Source organism: Homo sapiens, chromosome X (assembly GCF_000001405.40).
Source record: "Homo sapiens chromosome X, GRCh38.p14 Primary Assembly".
In the NCBI taxonomy this organism is placed as follows: Eukaryota; Metazoa; Chordata; class Mammalia; order Primates; family Hominidae; genus Homo; species Homo sapiens.
The window spans coordinates 153,989,955-154,006,136 of NC_000023.11; the positions used below are offsets into that span (position 1 = coordinate 153,989,955).

Sequence of the window (16,182 nt, forward strand, 5' to 3'; positions counted from 1 at the left end):
CTGAACTCAGCTGACCCACCCACCTCGGCCTACCACAGTGCTGGGATTACAGGCCTGAGGCCCTGCTCCCAGCCTCCTTGTGTTTCTCTACGTGCACATTGTGCAGAGCCTCCCCACCCGGCTGGACGTGACCGATGGCACACGTCCCCAGTCTCACGCTCCTGTGCACGCCTCTTGGTGCCTATGTGTGAGAGCTTCGCATTTCAACTCGAGTAGAATTTGCCAAATCCCTTGCCAGATTGGGGGCAGAGCTCCTCAACAGCACTTGATGTGGTCACCGGGGTGATCTGCTGATCTGACAGGAGTGAGTGACAGTTTCATTTTGTCCTTGTTTGCCTTTTTCAGCTTAAAATCGAGGTTGCCTCAAAACATTAAACATAGAATTCCCATAGGGTCCAGCAGTTCCACTGCTGGGTATAGGCACAAAGGAGTTGAAAGCAGGAGCTTGAAGGGATGCAATTCACAGCACCCAAGAGGTGAGAGCTGGCCAAGTGTCCATGGATGAATACATAGATAAACACAATCTGCTTTATCCACACAATGGAATATTATTCAGCCATGAAAAGGAAGGGAATCCTTACGCAGGCTACCACATGGATGAACCTGGAGGACATCATAATTAGTGAAAGAAGCCAGGACAGAAAGTACCTGATTCCACTTTTGGGAGGGACCTGGTGTCGTCAGACTCAGAGACACACCACAGGATGATGGTCGCCAGGGTGGGGAGAGTGGTGGGGAGTTAGTCTTTTTTTTTTTTTTAGACGGAGTCTCGCTCTGTCGCCCAGGCTGGAGTGCAGTGGTGCAATCTCGGCTCACCGCAACTTCCACCTCCCGGGTTCACACCATTCTCCTGCCTCAGCCTCCCGAGTAGTGGGACTACAGGCGCCCACCACCACGCCCAGCTAATTTTTTTTGTATTTTTAGTACAGGTGGGGTTCACCATGTTAGCCAGGATGGTCTGGATCTCCTGACCTCGTGAACCACCCGCCTCGGCCTCCCAAAGTGCCAGGATGACAGGTGTGAGCCACCGCGCCTAACCTGGAGTTAGTCTTTTTTTTCTTTCTTTCTTTTTCTCTTTCTTTCTTTCCTTCCTTCTTTTGTCCTTTCCTTTCTTTCTTCTTTCTCTTCTTTCTTCTTTCTTCTTTTTCTTTCCTTCCTTCCTTCTTTTCTTTCTTTCTTTCTTTCCTTTCTTTCTTCTTTCTTTGCTTCCTTCCTTTTCTTTTCTTTCTTTCTTTTCTTCCTTCTTTTCTTCTTTCTTTGTTTTTTTCTTTCTCTTCTTTCTTTCCCTTTCTTCTTTCTTTCCTTCCTTTCTTCTTTCTTTCCTTCCTTCTTTTCCTTCTTTCTTTTCTTTCCTTCCTTCCTTTCCTTCTTTCTTTTCTTTCTTTCCTTTCTTTTCTTCTTTCTTTCTTCTTTCTTTCTTTGCTTCCTTCCTTCTTTTCTTTTCTTTCTTTCTTTCTTCTTTCTTTCCTTTCTTTTCTTCTTTCTTTCTTTCTTTCTTCTTTTTTTCTTTCTTTCTTTCTTTTTTTTTTTCAGAGACTCACTCTGTCACCCAGGCTGGAGTGCAATGGTTAGTGCGATCTCAGCTCAGTGCAACCTCTGCCTCCCCGGTTCAAGCGATTCTCCTGCCTCAGCCTCCAGAGTAACTGGGACTACAGGTATGCACCACTGTGCCCAGCTAATTTTTTATATTTTATTTTATTTTATTTTATTTTATTTATTTTATTTTATTTTATTTTATTTTTGAGATGGAGTTTTGCTCTTGTCGCCCAGGCTGGAGTGCAATGCACGCTATTGGCTCACTGCAACCTCCACCTCCCAGGTTCAGGTGATTCTCCTGCCTCCGCCTCCCGATTAGCTGGGACTACAGGCCTGCACCACCATGCCCGGCTAATTTTGTATTTTTAGCAGAGACAGGGTTTCACCACGTTGGCCAGGCTGGTCTCAAACTACTGACGTCAAGTGATCCACCCCCACTCGGCCTCCCAAAGTGTTGAGATTACAGGCGTGAGCCACCGCGCCTGGCCTCTACTTATTTATTTCTTGTAGAGATGGAGTCTCACCATGTTGCCCAGGCTGGTCTTGAACCCCTGGGCTCCAGTGATCCTCCTGCCTCAGCCTCCCCAATTGCTGGGATGGCACACATGAGCCACGGGGCCCAGCCTCCTCATTTTGTCCTTAATATCTGCTTGTAACCACCTCAACTCAGAATACCTACCAAAACTTAGTTTGGATGTGTTTCCCAGGTTGCAATCCTCAAATTTGGCCCAAATACACTCTCCTTGTATTAATTTTACCTCAGTGTGTTCCTTTAGGTCGACCTCATAAAATCTGGTATGGGTAATTCTGCAGAGCCACTCCCTCACCACCGCTGTCTCGGGCCATGCTGGCTAGCAGCGATCGAGGGCTTACTGTGGACGAAAGTCAGTTTAGAGAAGTTGAATGGCCAAGTTCACAGCAGTAGGAAGTGGCTGCGGTGGGCTTTGCCCTGGGGCTTTGGACTTTGCCTGGAGCTGCTCCTCACTCATTCCAGGAAGCTCTTGCACCATGACCGCTGTGACTTGGGATCCAAATTTCAATTGAAAATATATTTTTTTCAATTTTTTTCATTTTTAAAATTTTTTTAGAAACTGAGTCTGGCTCTGTCACCCAGGCTGGAGTGCAGTGGTAGGATCACAGCTCACTGCAGCCTCAACCTCCTGGGCTTAAGTGATCCTCCCATCCCAGCCTCCTGGGTAGCTAGGAGTATAGGTGCTCACCATCATGCTCAGCTAATTTTTCTTCTTTTTTCTTTCCTTTTTCTTTCTTTCTTTTTTTTTTTTTTTTTTTGTAGAGGCAGGGTCTTGCTATGTTGTCCAGTTGTCCTGGGCTCAAGCCATCCTCCCACCTCAGCCTCCCGAGTTGCCAAGATTACAGGCCACTGTGCCTGGCCCGATGTTTTTTATTGGGGTAAAATACATAATAACATAAAATGTACCATGTTAACCAGTTTTGTGGTTAGTTAGTTCAGTGGTGTTACCTACATTCGTAATATGGTGCAACCAACATCATCGTCCATCTCCGGAACTCTTTTCATCCTTCTAAACTGAAACTCTATCCCCATTAAATGCTAACTCCCCAGTCCCCCTCCTGCAGCCCCTGGAAACCACCCTTCAGGTGTGCCACAGGTCAAATGTGGACACAGGGAGGCCACTGCACCCGGCCCTCAGCATCTGAACTTCCACCCCTGCTGCTTGAAGCTCTCCATCTCGCCGTCCAGACAGGCTGCCTTCCCCGCTGGCTCTGTATAGGATGCAACCCCAACAGGTGGAGAAGCTCAGCCCGCAGCACCCACACGGAGCCGAGATGTGCAGGTTGCCGAGCCGGCCCCGCTGGGGGGGCTTCTGCTGGGACAGACATAACAAACAGCAGATGTAGCCCCCTGCCGAGGACTTCAGATTGGGAATTGTCAGAGATTCCGGAGATTGTCAGATTGGATGGAAACCCCCACTTCCAGCATATGCTGTTTACTAGAGACACACCTCAAACATATGTCCATGGAAATATTACATGTGAAAGAATGAATGCTAGGCAGTTACTACCAAAAGCAAGCTGCCATGGCTATATTAACATCAGACAAAATAGGCTTTGGGACAAAACAAAAACAGTTTAGGAATGATGTTAAAATAGGCTCTACATATCTTAAGCAAAAGTTGACAGAACTCTAGGGAGAAATAGGCACATGAAGCATCGTAGAGGGAGGTTTCTTTTTTTTTTCTTTTTTTTTTTTTTTTTTTTGAGACAGAGTCTGGCTCTGTCGCCCAGACTGGAGTGCAGTGGCACAATCTGGGCTCACTGCAAGCTCCGCCTCACGGGTTTGAGGGATTCTCCTGCCTCAGCCTCCCAAGTAGCTGGGACTATAGGCGCCCGCCACCACGCCCGGCTAATTTTTTGTATTTTTAGTAGAGACGGGGTTTCACCGCGTTAGCCAGGATGGTCTCGATCTCCTGACCTTGTGATCCGCCCGCCTCGGCCTCCCAAAGTGCTGGGATTAGAGGCGTGAGCCACCGTGCCCGGCTTGCAGTTTTCTTTTTTAAAATGTTTATTTCTATTTTGTGATTCAAACTGAGGATCATCTTGCTGCAAAGAAGTTTTTAAGTTGATAAGAAACTGCTGAACAGTGATTCAAAGTGGCTGTGCCATTTCACACTCCTGCTGGCCGCGTGCGAACCTTTCATGCACTCCGCCTCCTCACCAGTGCTCCCTGCGACCAGTCTTCAGTGACAGTCATTCTGGGTGCGATTTTATCTTGCATTTCCCCATGAGAAATGGGCATCTCTTCCTATGCCTCAGTGGGGAGAACCAGAGACGGGGGCAGAAGAGGGGCAGGAGAAGGCAGGGAGGGTGGTTGGAGGAGAGAGCATTGGGTGGGGGTGGCAAGTGCTGGAGGAGGGGGACGGGGAAGTGGGCCCTTTGCTCTTGAACCATTTTAACCCCAAGCAAGGTGCATTCAGGGTTTGGGCAGGGGTCTGGCCCTCATGTCACCAGATCCTGAGTGACTGTAGGGGCCTCTCATCATGTCTTCACTCCTGGACTTGCTGGCTCCAGGTGAGAAGACGTGGACACTGCTGTGGGCTGCAGAGGTTTGGGGGTGTGTGTGTGTGTGTGTGTGTGTGCATGTGTGTGTGTGTGTGTGTGTGTGCGTGTGTGCGTGTGTGCATGTGTGCGTGTGTGTGTGTGTGCATGTGTGTGTGTGTGCATGTGTGTGTGTGTGCATGTGTGTGTGTGTGCATGTGTGCATGTGTGCGTGTGTGTGTGTGTGTGTGCATGTGTGTGTGTGTGTGTGTGTGTGTTTGAGACAGGGTCTCACCCTTTCTCCCAGGCTGGAATGCAGTGGCGCGATCTCGGCTCACTGCACCACGGACCTCCGGGCTCAGGTGATCCTCCCACTTCAACCCCCTGAATAACTGGGACTACAGGCGCACGGCCCCATGCCCAGCTAATTATGTAATTATGTCACTTTTCATAGAGACGGGGTCTCCCCATGTTGCCCAGGCTGGTCAGGAACTCCTGGGCTCAAGCGATCCACCCGTCTCAACCTCCCAAAGTACTAGGATTCCAGGCCTAAGCCACTGTGCCTGGCCTTCAGGGTTTTAAGGAACAGTTTCATTTCCACAGTGGGGCGGCTTGAGAAGTAGGGGCACCCCACCAGCAGCTGAGCAGAGAAGAAATGGTGGCTATCAGACAGCCCAGGCCTAGTGAATCCTCCAGTGAATTATTCCTGGCCTTTAAGAGACAGGTAATTCCAGCGAGGCGCAGTGGCTCACGCCTGTCATCCAAGCACTTCAGGAGGCCGAGGTGGACGGATCACGAGATCAGGAGATCGAGACCATCCTGGCTAACGCGGTGAAACCCCGTGTCTACTAAAAACACAAAACATTAGCCGGGCGCGGTGGCGGGCGCCTGTAGTCCCAGCTACTGGGGAGGCTGAGGCAGGAGAATGGAGTGAACCCGGGAGGCGGAGCTTGCAGTGAGCCGAGATGGCGCCACTGCACTCCAGCCTGGGCGACAGAGCGAGACTCCGTCTCAAAAAAAAAAAAGAGGTAATTCCAGGGTTTCAAAGAAAGTAAAGTTTCCAGATGTGCTTTATGAAGCCAGAATAACCTTTGTCCCCCAGGAGAATGTTAGTGTCACAAAGACAGACTCTTGTGGGTCCTGCTTGCTTCTCCGCTCTGAGTCCACAGCGGTGTCTGGCACACAGTAGGTACTCCTGGGTGACTCACTGAATCTGGTTGCAGACTTGACACACACACACATGCACACACGGAAAAGTATCGATACTGCTGTTAAACACTGGTAGGCATTTCTAAAATAAAAACATTAGCTAATATCATCCAAAAGCAGATCAAGGCATGAATATCCAGGCTGGGCGCGGTGGCTCATGCCTGTAATCCCAGCACTGTGGGAGGCTGAGGTGGGAGGATTGCTTGAGCCCAGGAGTTTGAGGCCAGCCTAGGTAACATGGTGAGTCTGTCTCTAAAAAAAAATACAAAAGTTAGGTGGGGATGGTGGTGCGAGCCTGTGGTCCTAGCTACTCGGAGGCTGAGGGAGAATTGCTTGGGCCTAGGAGTCTGAGGCTGCGGTGAGCCATGATCACACCACTGCACTCCAGCCTGGGTGACAGAGGGAGACCTGTGTGAAAGGAAAATAAATCTTGGGGCCCCCAAATCACTCAGCTAAAGGGAAAACTCAAGCTGGGAACTGCTTAGGGCCAACCTGCCTCCCACTCTATTCAAGGCCACTCCTCTGTTCACTGAGATAAATGCTTATTGGATTGCTTCCTTTGGAGAGGCTCATGAGAAACTCAAAACAACACAATCATTGGTCTCTTATCTACCCATGACCTGGAAGCCCCCTCCCCACTTCAAGTTGTCCCTTTCTGGACCAAGCCAATGTTCATCTTACATATGTTGACTGATGTCTCATGTCTCCCTAAAATGTATAAAACCAAGCTGTGCTCTGACCACCTCGGGCACATGTCGTCAGGACCATCCTCAACCTTGGCAAAACAAACTTTCTAAATTCACTGAGACCTCTCTCAGATATTCAGGGTTCACACCTGACTCTTAAAAAAAGCAAAGAAGTGAATAAACTATAACCAAATGTACACAACATATTGTTATTAACCATAGTCACGATGATGTACAACAAATCTCTTGAACTAATTGGAATTCCTCCTAATTGGAATTTTGAATCCCTTGGCCAACATCTCCTCATCCTTCCCTCCCCACCCACCACCCTGCAGCCCCTTTATGAGTTCAGCTTTTTTATTTTCTACATATCAGTGAGGTTGTGTGGTATTTGTCTTTTTGTACCTGGCTTATTTCATTTAACATAGTGTTCCCCAGTTTCACCTATTTTGTTGCAAATGACAGGATTTCCTTCTCTTTTATGGCTGAATGGGATTCCGTTGTGTACAGATATCACACTTTCTTTATCCATTCACCCATTGATAAACTCTTAGGTTGATTCCATCTCTTACCTGTTGTGAATAGTGCTGCAATGAACACGGGAGTGCAGGTATCTCTTTGACATGGTGATTTCAAATTTAAATATATACCTTTAAATATATACCAAGTAGTGAAATTGCTGGCTAATACGGTAGTTGTGTTTGTAGTTTTTGGACTATACTGTTCTCCGTACTGTCTGTGCTACTTTACATTCACACCAACAGCGTACGAGGTTCCCATTTCCCTGCATCCTTGTCAGCATTTGTTATTTTTTTAAACATCTTTTTGTTAAAAGCCATTTTAACTGGGGTGAGATGATATCTCGTGGTGCTTTTGACTTGTGTTTCCCTGATGGTGAGTGATGTGGAGCATTTTTTCATAGACCTGTTGGCCATGTCTATTCAGATCTTTTGCCCACTAAAATTTTCTTTTTTTGAGACAGGACCTCACTCTGTCACCCAGGCTAGAGTGCGGTGGCATGACCACAGCTCATGCAGCCTCATCCTCCTGGGCCCAGTCAACCCTCCCACGTCAGCTTCCTAAGTAGAAAAAGGCCAGCTGTGGTGGCTCACCCCTGTAATCCCAGCACTTTGGGAGGCCGAGGCAGGTGGATCACCTGAGGTCAGGAGTTCGAGACCAGCCTGACCAACATGGTGAAACCCTGTCTGTAGTAAAACTGCAAAAATTATCCGGGCGTGGTAGTGGGCACCCGTAATCCCAGCTACCTGAGGCTGAGGCAGGGGAATCACTTGAGCCCACGGCACGTGGATCACCTGAGGTCAAGAGTTTGAGACCAGCCTGGCCAACATGGTGAAACCCCATCTCTACTAAAAACGCAAAAAATGAGCCAGGTGTGGTGGCGGGCCCCTGTAATCCCAGCTGTCTGGGAGGCTGAGGCAGGAGAATCGCTTGAACCTGGGAGGCGGAGGTTGCCGTAAGCCAAGATGGTTCCACTGCACTCCAGCCTGGGCCGCAAGAGTGAAACTCCATCTCAAAAAAAAAAAAAAAAAGTGAAATCTGCAGAGATGACAGCTTCATGAGCTGATTGTATGAAGCCACAAACAGTACTGTGCTTAATGGTGAAACACCACAGCATTTTCATTAGTCAAGAATGAGACAATATTCCCAGGATCACCACTGTTTCTTCCCGTTTCCCAATGTTAAATTGGCCAATGCAATTGAAAAAGTTAGCCGGACGTGGCGCACAAGGAATACGTGTTGGAAGGATGAAGCAAAGTTCTCATTCTTTGTAAATCACTTGATTGCACCACTGAAACGTCCTCTGGTCTGCTGGGCAGGTTTGAGTCAGGAGATTCTGGCTGTCTTCACTGGGCCTATCTGAGACTGGGTGTCATTTGCTTTGCTCTTGTCTGATTTTACTGTCAGACATCACTCCTGTAACCAGTCTTTGTAGTAAGTCTCATTTCTTGCATGTACTTGGAAGTACATGCAATAAATGGTTTTATTTTCCCAGCGACTGTGCCCGCCCCCACCCCATTGAGTTGTGCCAAATCCCCCTTAAGACGTGGGGCCCGAGTCCATCATGTTTCAGTCAGGTTGCTTGTAATTAGTCTTATTCTGGTTCTTTTTTCTTTTCTTTTCTTTTTCTTTTTTTTTAGACAGAGTCTCGCTCTGTTGCCAGGCTGGAGTGCAGTGGCACAAACTCGGCTCACTGCAACCTCTGCCTCCCGGGTTCAAGTGATTCTCCTGCCTCAGCCTCCCAAATAGCTGGGACTACAGGCTTGCACCACCACACCCAGCTAATTTTTGTATTTTTAGTAGAGACGGGGTTTCACCATGTTGGCCAGGATGGTCTTGATCTCTTGACCTTGTGATCTGCCCGCTTCAGCCTTCCAAAGTGTTGGGATTACAGGCATGAGCCAACACGCCCGGCCTGGTTGTCTTTTCTTTTCTTTCTTTTTTTTTTTTTTTTTTTTTTTTTAAGACAGGGTCTCACTCTGTCACCCAGGCTGGAGTGCACTGATGAGATCTAGACTCACTGCAGCCTCAACTTCCTGGGCTTAAGCGATCCTCCCACCTCAGCCTCCCGAGAAGCTGGGACTACAGGCGTGCACCACCACGCCTGGCTAATTTTTGTATTTTTAGTAGAGACAGGGTTTCTTCATGTTGGCCAGGTTGGTCTCAAACTCCTGACCTCAGCTGATCCACCTGCCTCGGCCTCCCAAAGTGCTGGGATTACAGGCATGAGCCACGACTCCCGGCCTACCCTTAATTTTTTTTTTTTGAAGTGCACAAGCTAATTTTTTAATTACTATTTGTAGAGATTAGGTCTCCCTGTGTTGCCCAGGTTGGTCTTGAACTCCTGAGCTCACGCAATCCATCTACCTTGGCCTCCCACAATGCTGGACTGCAGGTGTGCACCACGCTCTGGCATCATTCTGGTTCTTAAACCCAAGGGTACTTATTTTCCAACATGAACCTTAACCTCACCCTTCCAGAAACTTCTCAGGCATGGGCAAGGTTGCAGTCTCCCTTACTGCAGGCAGCAATGACTTTAGCAACAGGTGATCTTGGTGGGCTCGTAGGGGAGTGGGAATGGGCAGTGGCTTTTGTCCTCCTTTTGTTGTCCGCTGGGGATCTTGGTTGGGAAGCCTGAACCCAGCATTGTTTCCTAGCCCTGTGTTCAACAATGCCGGGAGCGAGGTGCCTTCCTATCCCCGTGATAAACAGTTCTGGGACCTGTTGCTCTGCCACACAATCCTGAGAACTAGCACAAGTCAATTCGCTTGCAGGACCAACACACCCATGCTCCTGAAAGATGAGACTCGCAGAGCCCGGCCCGAGACTGCACCCAGCCGTCCAAGGCTGACCATGCTTCCCACCCGGCCCTCCCCACGCCGGCTCGGACTTCGGGCATTTTCTCTCCTCCTTTCCTCCCTGGTGATCTGAGGCCGGCTCTGTCGGGGGAGTGTTCTTCCTCTTTGCAGTGAGTCCAATAAACTCAGCTTTGCCTGAACAACAGGTTTTTCTGGTGGTGATTTTGGGGAGTCTACAGCCAACAGCTGAAATTGGGAAAACGGGGCGGGGGTGGGGAATCCCTTTTTGTTTTTTGTTTTTATTTTTTACAGTAAAGTGAAAGCAAGTTTATTAGGAAGATAGAGGAATAAAAGAATGGCTGCTCCATAGACAGGGCAGCTGGGAATCCCTTTTAGCACCTGGTGGCTGCAGATGGGTAGAAATACAGACCATATTTGGTTCTTAGTTTAATTAGCCAGAGACGCAGAACAGGGTGGGAAGCCAGACGGCCACACCTAGCACCTCATCAGGCTGCAGCCAACCAGGGCCTCTCGGGGCTGGGAAAACTCGATTCTTGCTGTACTTGGGCTTACTCGGCTCTCCATCTTATGCAAACACCTCTCCTTATGAAAGGCAAGAAGAATTTGTTCTACACTGGGGATGGGTTGTGCCTGTCACATGGAGCAGCCTGGGGACCTAGAGGGACCCTTTAGAAGCTTAGCACCTAGCAATTCCTTTTCACATGTGACTCATGGTCTATTCAGTTTTAGTACTTCTTTTTTTTTTGACAGAGTTTTGCTCTGTCACCCAGGCTGGAGTGCAATGGCGCGATCTCTGCTCACCGCAACCTCTGCCTCCCAGGTTCAAGTGATTCTCCTGCCTCAGCCTCCCAAGTAGCTGGGATTACGGGCACGCGCCACCACGCCTGGCTAATGTTGTATTTTTAGTAGAGACGGGGTTTCTCCACGTTGGTCAGGCTGGTCTTGAACTCCCAACCTCAGGTAGTCCCCCTGCCTCGGCCTCTCAAAGTGCTGGGATTAAAGGCGTGAGCCACCACGCCCGGCTTTTTTTTTTTTTTTTTTGAGATGGAGTCTTGCTCTGTCGCCCAGGCTGGAGTGCAGTGGCACCATCTCAGCTCCCTGCAACCTCCGCCTCTTGGGTTCAAGCAATTCTCTGCTTCACCCTCCCACGTAGCTGGGATTACAGGTGCCCACCACCATGCCCGGCTAATTTTTGGATTTTTAGTAGTGACGGGGTTTCACCATCTTGGCCAGGCTGGTCTTGAACTCCTGACCTCGTGATCCATGGCGCCTGGCCTACTACTTCTTTATTCATTTATTTTTTGAGACGGAGTCTCGCTCTGTCACCCATGCTGGAGTGCAGTGGCACGATCTCGGCTCATTGCAACCTCCACCTCCCGGGTTCAGCTTCCCGGATAGCTGGGACTACAGGTGCGCGCCACCACGCCCAGCTAATATTTTGTATTTTGTAAGTAGAGACGTGGTTTCACCGTGTTGGCCAGGGTGGTCTCAAACTCTTGACCTCAAGTGATCTGCCTGCCTCGGCCTCCCAAAGTGCTGGGATTACAGGCGTGAGCCACTGTGCTTGGCGCAGTTTTACTACTTCTTGAGACAACTCTGAAGATTTCTATTTTTCACAGAAAGTCATTCAGTTAATCTAGACTTTTCAAATGTATTGCCATAAAGTTATATTTACTATTTTAAAATTTTAATTTCCTCCTTAACCCAACATTTATTTAAAAGGGTCATTTCAGCCGGGCGTGGTGGCTCACGCCTGTAATCCCAGCACTTTGGGAGGTCGAGGCAGGTGGATCACCTGAGGTCAGGAGTTTGAGACCAGCCTGGGCAACATAGTGAGACCCCATCTCTACAGAAAAATAAAAAATTAGCCGGGCGTGGTGGCACACATCTGTAGTCCCAGCTCCTCGGGAGGCTGAGATGGGAGGATCACTTGAACCTGGGAGGTCGAGGTTGCAGTGAGCCATGATCGCACCACTGCACTCCAGCCTGAGTGACAGAGCCAGATCCTGACTGCTGCTCATAGAGATCTCGCCTAAAGATCTTGCCTAAGTGCAAAAACACACACACACAGAAACTGGAACAACCGAACTGACCCTTTGGGGAGGCTGGCGAAATAAATGACATGGAGTACATTCATACAGCTCTAAAAAAGGACAAAAGTCAGGGACATCTGTGTCCAGGGAACACTCTCGATTTGTCTTGTTAAGTGAAACTGGCGAGGCGTGGAATCATGAGAGAAGCGTGAGTAGAGGGGACTTAAACCAGGGACTGGTGGCCACAGCTAGTGTTAGCCAGGGGACTGGAGGCTGGGAGACTGAGAAGGAGATTTTCTTACTTCGTACGTGTCTGTACTGTTTGGATTTTTTTTTTTTTTTTTTTTTTGAGAGGGTATTTTTTAAAAGGAAAAGCTTGTTTTGTTTTTCTTTTTAAAAAATAGGCTCTAAAAATTCTGGAGAGAAATAAAAAAGGCAACATGGTGGCCGGGTATGGGCGTCTCTTCTGATTCCAGGCTGGTTGGCACTGGCCACCTTGCTCAATGGTTGCCTTAGAAACCGGCCTAGCGAGGGGGTGTCAGTTGTCTCTGGTAGCCATTAAGGCAGTGACTCAGCAGAAAACCCAACCCAAGAGGGAGTTGTTCATTCACTGACTTTCCTTCTCTCCCAGAAAAGCATGGGTGAGGCCATTTCTGTTACATTTGCGATCGGGTGGCAGCTGCTCCGCCGTGAAGGCGGTAGCGAGAAGTCTGCCCGCTCCTCCAGCCTCTCACTAGGTGAGTGGCGTCTCTGTGCTGCCCTGTCCCTCAGAAACCACAGGTTCCGGTCCCTCTGCCAGCCTGTCCCCTGTCTCTCCCCTCCCGCTGACAGGGTGAAACCAGCTTCCGCTCACAAGCACTTGCTGGGGGTTGCCACAGGCATGGCTCTTGGGGAGATCTTTAGTAAAAAACCCAACCAAACATCACGAGTGGAACCGAGTGTGGATCATAAACTCAACTGAGAGAAAAGCCAAGGGACGCATGTGGGCAAAATACACAGAAAACCCAGCATGGGCGCGGGGGCTCTCGCCTGTCATCCCATCACTTTGGGAGGCCAAGGCGGGTGGATCACTTGAGGTCAGGAGTTCGAGACCAGCCTGGCCAACATGGTGAAACCCCATCTCTACTAAAATACAAAAATTGGTCGGGCATGGTGGTGGACACCTGTAATCCCAGCTACTCGGGAGGCTGAGGCAGGAGAATTGCTTGAACCGGGGAGGCGGAGGTTGCCGTGAGCTGAGATCACACCACTGCACTCCAGCCTGGGTGACAGAATGAGGCCCTGTCTCAGAAAAAAAAAAAGAATCACGTGCTGAGACATGCTACAACACAGATGAACCCCAAAATCATAATGCTAAGTGAAAGAAGCCAGACACGAAAGATCCCATGAGTATTATCCCATTTATATGGAGTGTTCAGAGTAGGTGAATCTATAGAGACAGAAAGGAGATGAGTGACTGCCTCAGCTGGAAGGGAAAATGGGGAAGAAATGGGTAGTGACTATTAAAAGGTATGGTGTTTTTTTTTCTTTGTTTTTGTTTTGTTTTGTTTTGTTTTATTTTGTTTTTTTGAGATGGAGTCTCGCTCTGTCACCCAGGCTGGAGTGCAGTGGCATGATCTCGGCTCACTGCAACCTCTGCCTCCTGGGTTCCAGCAATTCTCCTGCCTCTGCCTCCTGAGTAGCTGGGACTACAGGCGCCCACCACGATGACTGGGCAATTTTTGTATTTTTAGTAGAGATGGGGTTTCATCGTGTTGGCCAGGTTGGTCTCAAACTCCTGACCTCAGGTGATCCACCCACCTCGGCCTCCCAAAGTGCTGGGATGACAGGTGTGAGCCACCACGCCTGGCCAGTGTTTCTTTTTGGAATGATGAAAATATGCTCAAATAGAGTGCTGGTTGCACAAGTCTGTAAATCTATTAAAAACACGGAGTTGCACACTTCAAACAACTGAACCTTGTGGCGTGTGAGGTAGATGTCTTAACACAGCTGTTAAAAAGCCCAGGATAGCTGGGCACAGCGGCTCAGCTGTAATCCCAGTACTTTGGGGGGGCTGAGGAAGGAGGATCGCTTCAGCTCAGGGGCTTGAGACCAGCCTTGGCAACCTAGCGAGACCCTGTCTGTACTAAAAATAAAAATAATTAGCTGGGCATGGTGACATGCACCTGAGGTCCCAGGTACTCGAGAGGCTAAAGCGGGGGCTGTGGGCAGGAGAACAAGGCTGCAGTGAGCTATGATCACGCCATTGCACTCCAGCCTGGGCAACATAATGAGATCCTGTCTCAATAAACACATGAAAGAGACACATACTGTTATTTCAAACTTCACTCAAAATACACTGCCTTCTATGTGCTGGGACCCAGAGAGGGTTTGTGGCATGTTTGTAGGAATAAGTCCGGATCAGAACGGAGCTGAGAATGGGTGTTCACTCGTATTCTTCAATGTCTCCTATTGAGATGATGTTATCCACTTGTTATTTTCTTGACCCTATTTTCTGCCAAGAAATAAAGTAATTTGAGAGAGAGAGAGAGAGCGAGATCTAACGTGGAAAAACAGATCTGCAGGAAGGCATGGAACGCACTAGAAAGGTAAAAAATGGGCTGTTTAGACCAACACTAATAGTGTCCTTTGGGATTTAAAATATACGAAAACAAGAGCACCCGAGGCCCGGCGGAAACACAGTCTCGCTGCTGGGAGGCTCTGGCGTTGCTTGAGCCACTGCACCGCAGACTCAATCCCTAGGGTAACTGCTGGAGTAATAATGAAAAGTGACACTGAGAAAAGGCAAAAAAAGAGAAAGAAAGTAACCAACGACAGATGGGACAACAGAGAACAAATGGTAAGCTGGTCCTCACACACAGCCAGAGCAGGAGGGTGGCGGGGGTCAGGGTCTAATGGTGTGGAGGAGGAGGAGGAGGATGTTGAGGGTGAAGAAACAAAGCCCATGCCCCCGAGTTGTACACTTATAAATAGTTAAACAGATGAATATTATGTTGTATATATTTTATCACAATAAAAGATCTCACATACAGCCATATTGGCAAATCCATTAAAATGAAAATGGATAAACACACAAAGATTGCCGGGCTGGCGTAGAGGGAAAATAAAACCAATCAATCAATATGCTGCCTCAAAGAGACATTCTTTCTTTCTTCCTTTCTTTCCTTCCTTCCTTCCTTTCTCTCTTTCTTTCTTTTTTGACAGAGTCTCACTCTGCTGCCCAGGCTGGAGTGCAATGGCGTGATCTCAGCTCACTGCAACCTCCATCTCCCGGATTCAAGTGATTCCCCTGCCTCAGCCTCCTGAGTAGCTGGGATTATAGGCGTGCACCATCATACCCCACTAATTTTTGTATTTTCACTAGAGACAGGGTTTTACCATGTTGGCCAGGCTGGTCTCAAACTCCTCACCTCAAGTGATCTTCTCACCTCAGCCTCCCAAAGTCCTGGGATTACAGGAATGAGCCACCGTGCCCGGCTGCATTTTATTTTATTTTATTTTATTTTTGAGATGGAGTCTTGCCCTGTTGCCCAGGCTGGAGTGCAGTGGCGTGATCGCCGCTCACTGCAAGCTCCGCCTCCCGGGTTCACGCCATTCTCCTGCCTCAGCCTCCCGAGTAGCTGGGACTACAGGTGCCCGCCACCACGCCCGGCTAACTTTTTGTATTTTTAGTAGAGATGGGGTTTCACCATGTTAGCCAGGATGGTCTTGATCTCCTGACCTCGTGATCCACCCGCCTCGGCCTTCCGAAGTGCTGGGATTACAGGCGTGAGCCACTGCGCCTGGCCCATTTTATTTCTTAAAAACAGCTTTTTTTTTTTTTTTTTTTTTTTTGACAGAGTCTCACTCTGTCGCCCAGGCTGGAGTGCACTGGTGCCATCTTGACTCACTGCAAGCTCCATCTCCTGGGTTCACGCCATTCTCCTGCCTCAGCCTCCCAAGTAGCTGGGACTACAGGTGCCCGCCACCACGCCTGGCTAATTTTTTGTATTTTTAGTAGAGACAGGGTTTCACCATGTTAGCCAGGATGGTCTCGATCTCCTGACCTAATGATCTGCCTGCCTCGGCCTCCCAAAGTGCTGAGATTACAGGCGTGAGCCACTGTGCCTGGCCAAAAACAGCTTTATTGAGGTATAATTGACATAAAATAAACTGCACATTTAAAGTGAACAGTTTGAAAGTTATATCTGCCAAACCATCAACACAATCGAGAATGAACCCACCAGGCCAGGCGTGGGGGCTCACGCCTGCAGTCCCAGCTACCTGGGAGGCTGAGGTGGGTGGATCGTGTGAGCCCAGGAATTCGAGACCAGCCTGGGCAACATGGCAAGACCCCATCTCTACAAAAAATACAAAAACTGGCCG

General features: G+C 48.8%; 5 annotated features.

Moving 5' to 3' along the window:
• Positions 10,271 to 10,771: an enhancer, noted in NCBI's record as "H3K4me1 hESC enhancer chrX:153265676-153266176 (GRCh37/hg19 assembly coordinates)". NCBI's record gives its function as "activates a minimal SCP1, AML or CMV promoter by ChIP-STARR-seq in naive H9 embryonic stem cells {active_cell/tissue: H9 hESC(naive)}" and the evidence as "EXISTENCE:reporter gene assay evidence [ECO:0000049][PMID:30033119]".
• Positions 12,317 to 12,461: an enhancer, noted in NCBI's record as "145 bp enhancer 190/191 fragment used in the MPRA reporter construct; PK_construct_3420". NCBI's record gives its function as "activates an SV40 promoter by MPRA in HepG2 and K562 cells {active_cell/tissue: HepG2 | K562}" and the evidence as "EXISTENCE:reporter gene assay evidence [ECO:0000049][PMID:23512712]".
• Positions 12,317 to 12,463: a biological region, named in NCBI's record as "NFE2L2 motif-containing MPRA enhancer 190/191".
• Positions 12,384 to 12,394: a transcriptional cis regulatory region, noted in NCBI's record as "NFE2L2 motif; enhancer activity is reduced when this motif is scrambled". NCBI's record gives its function as "necessary for full MPRA enhancer 190/191 activity {active_cell/tissue: HepG2 | K562}" and the evidence as "EXISTENCE:site-directed mutagenesis evidence [ECO:0005528][PMID:23512712]".
• Positions 12,414 to 12,463: an enhancer, noted in NCBI's record as "active region_30051". NCBI's record gives its function as "activates an Ori minimal core promoter by ATAC-STARR-seq in GM12878 lymphoblastoid cells {active_cell/tissue: GM12878}" and the evidence as "EXISTENCE:reporter gene assay evidence [ECO:0000049][PMID:35858748]".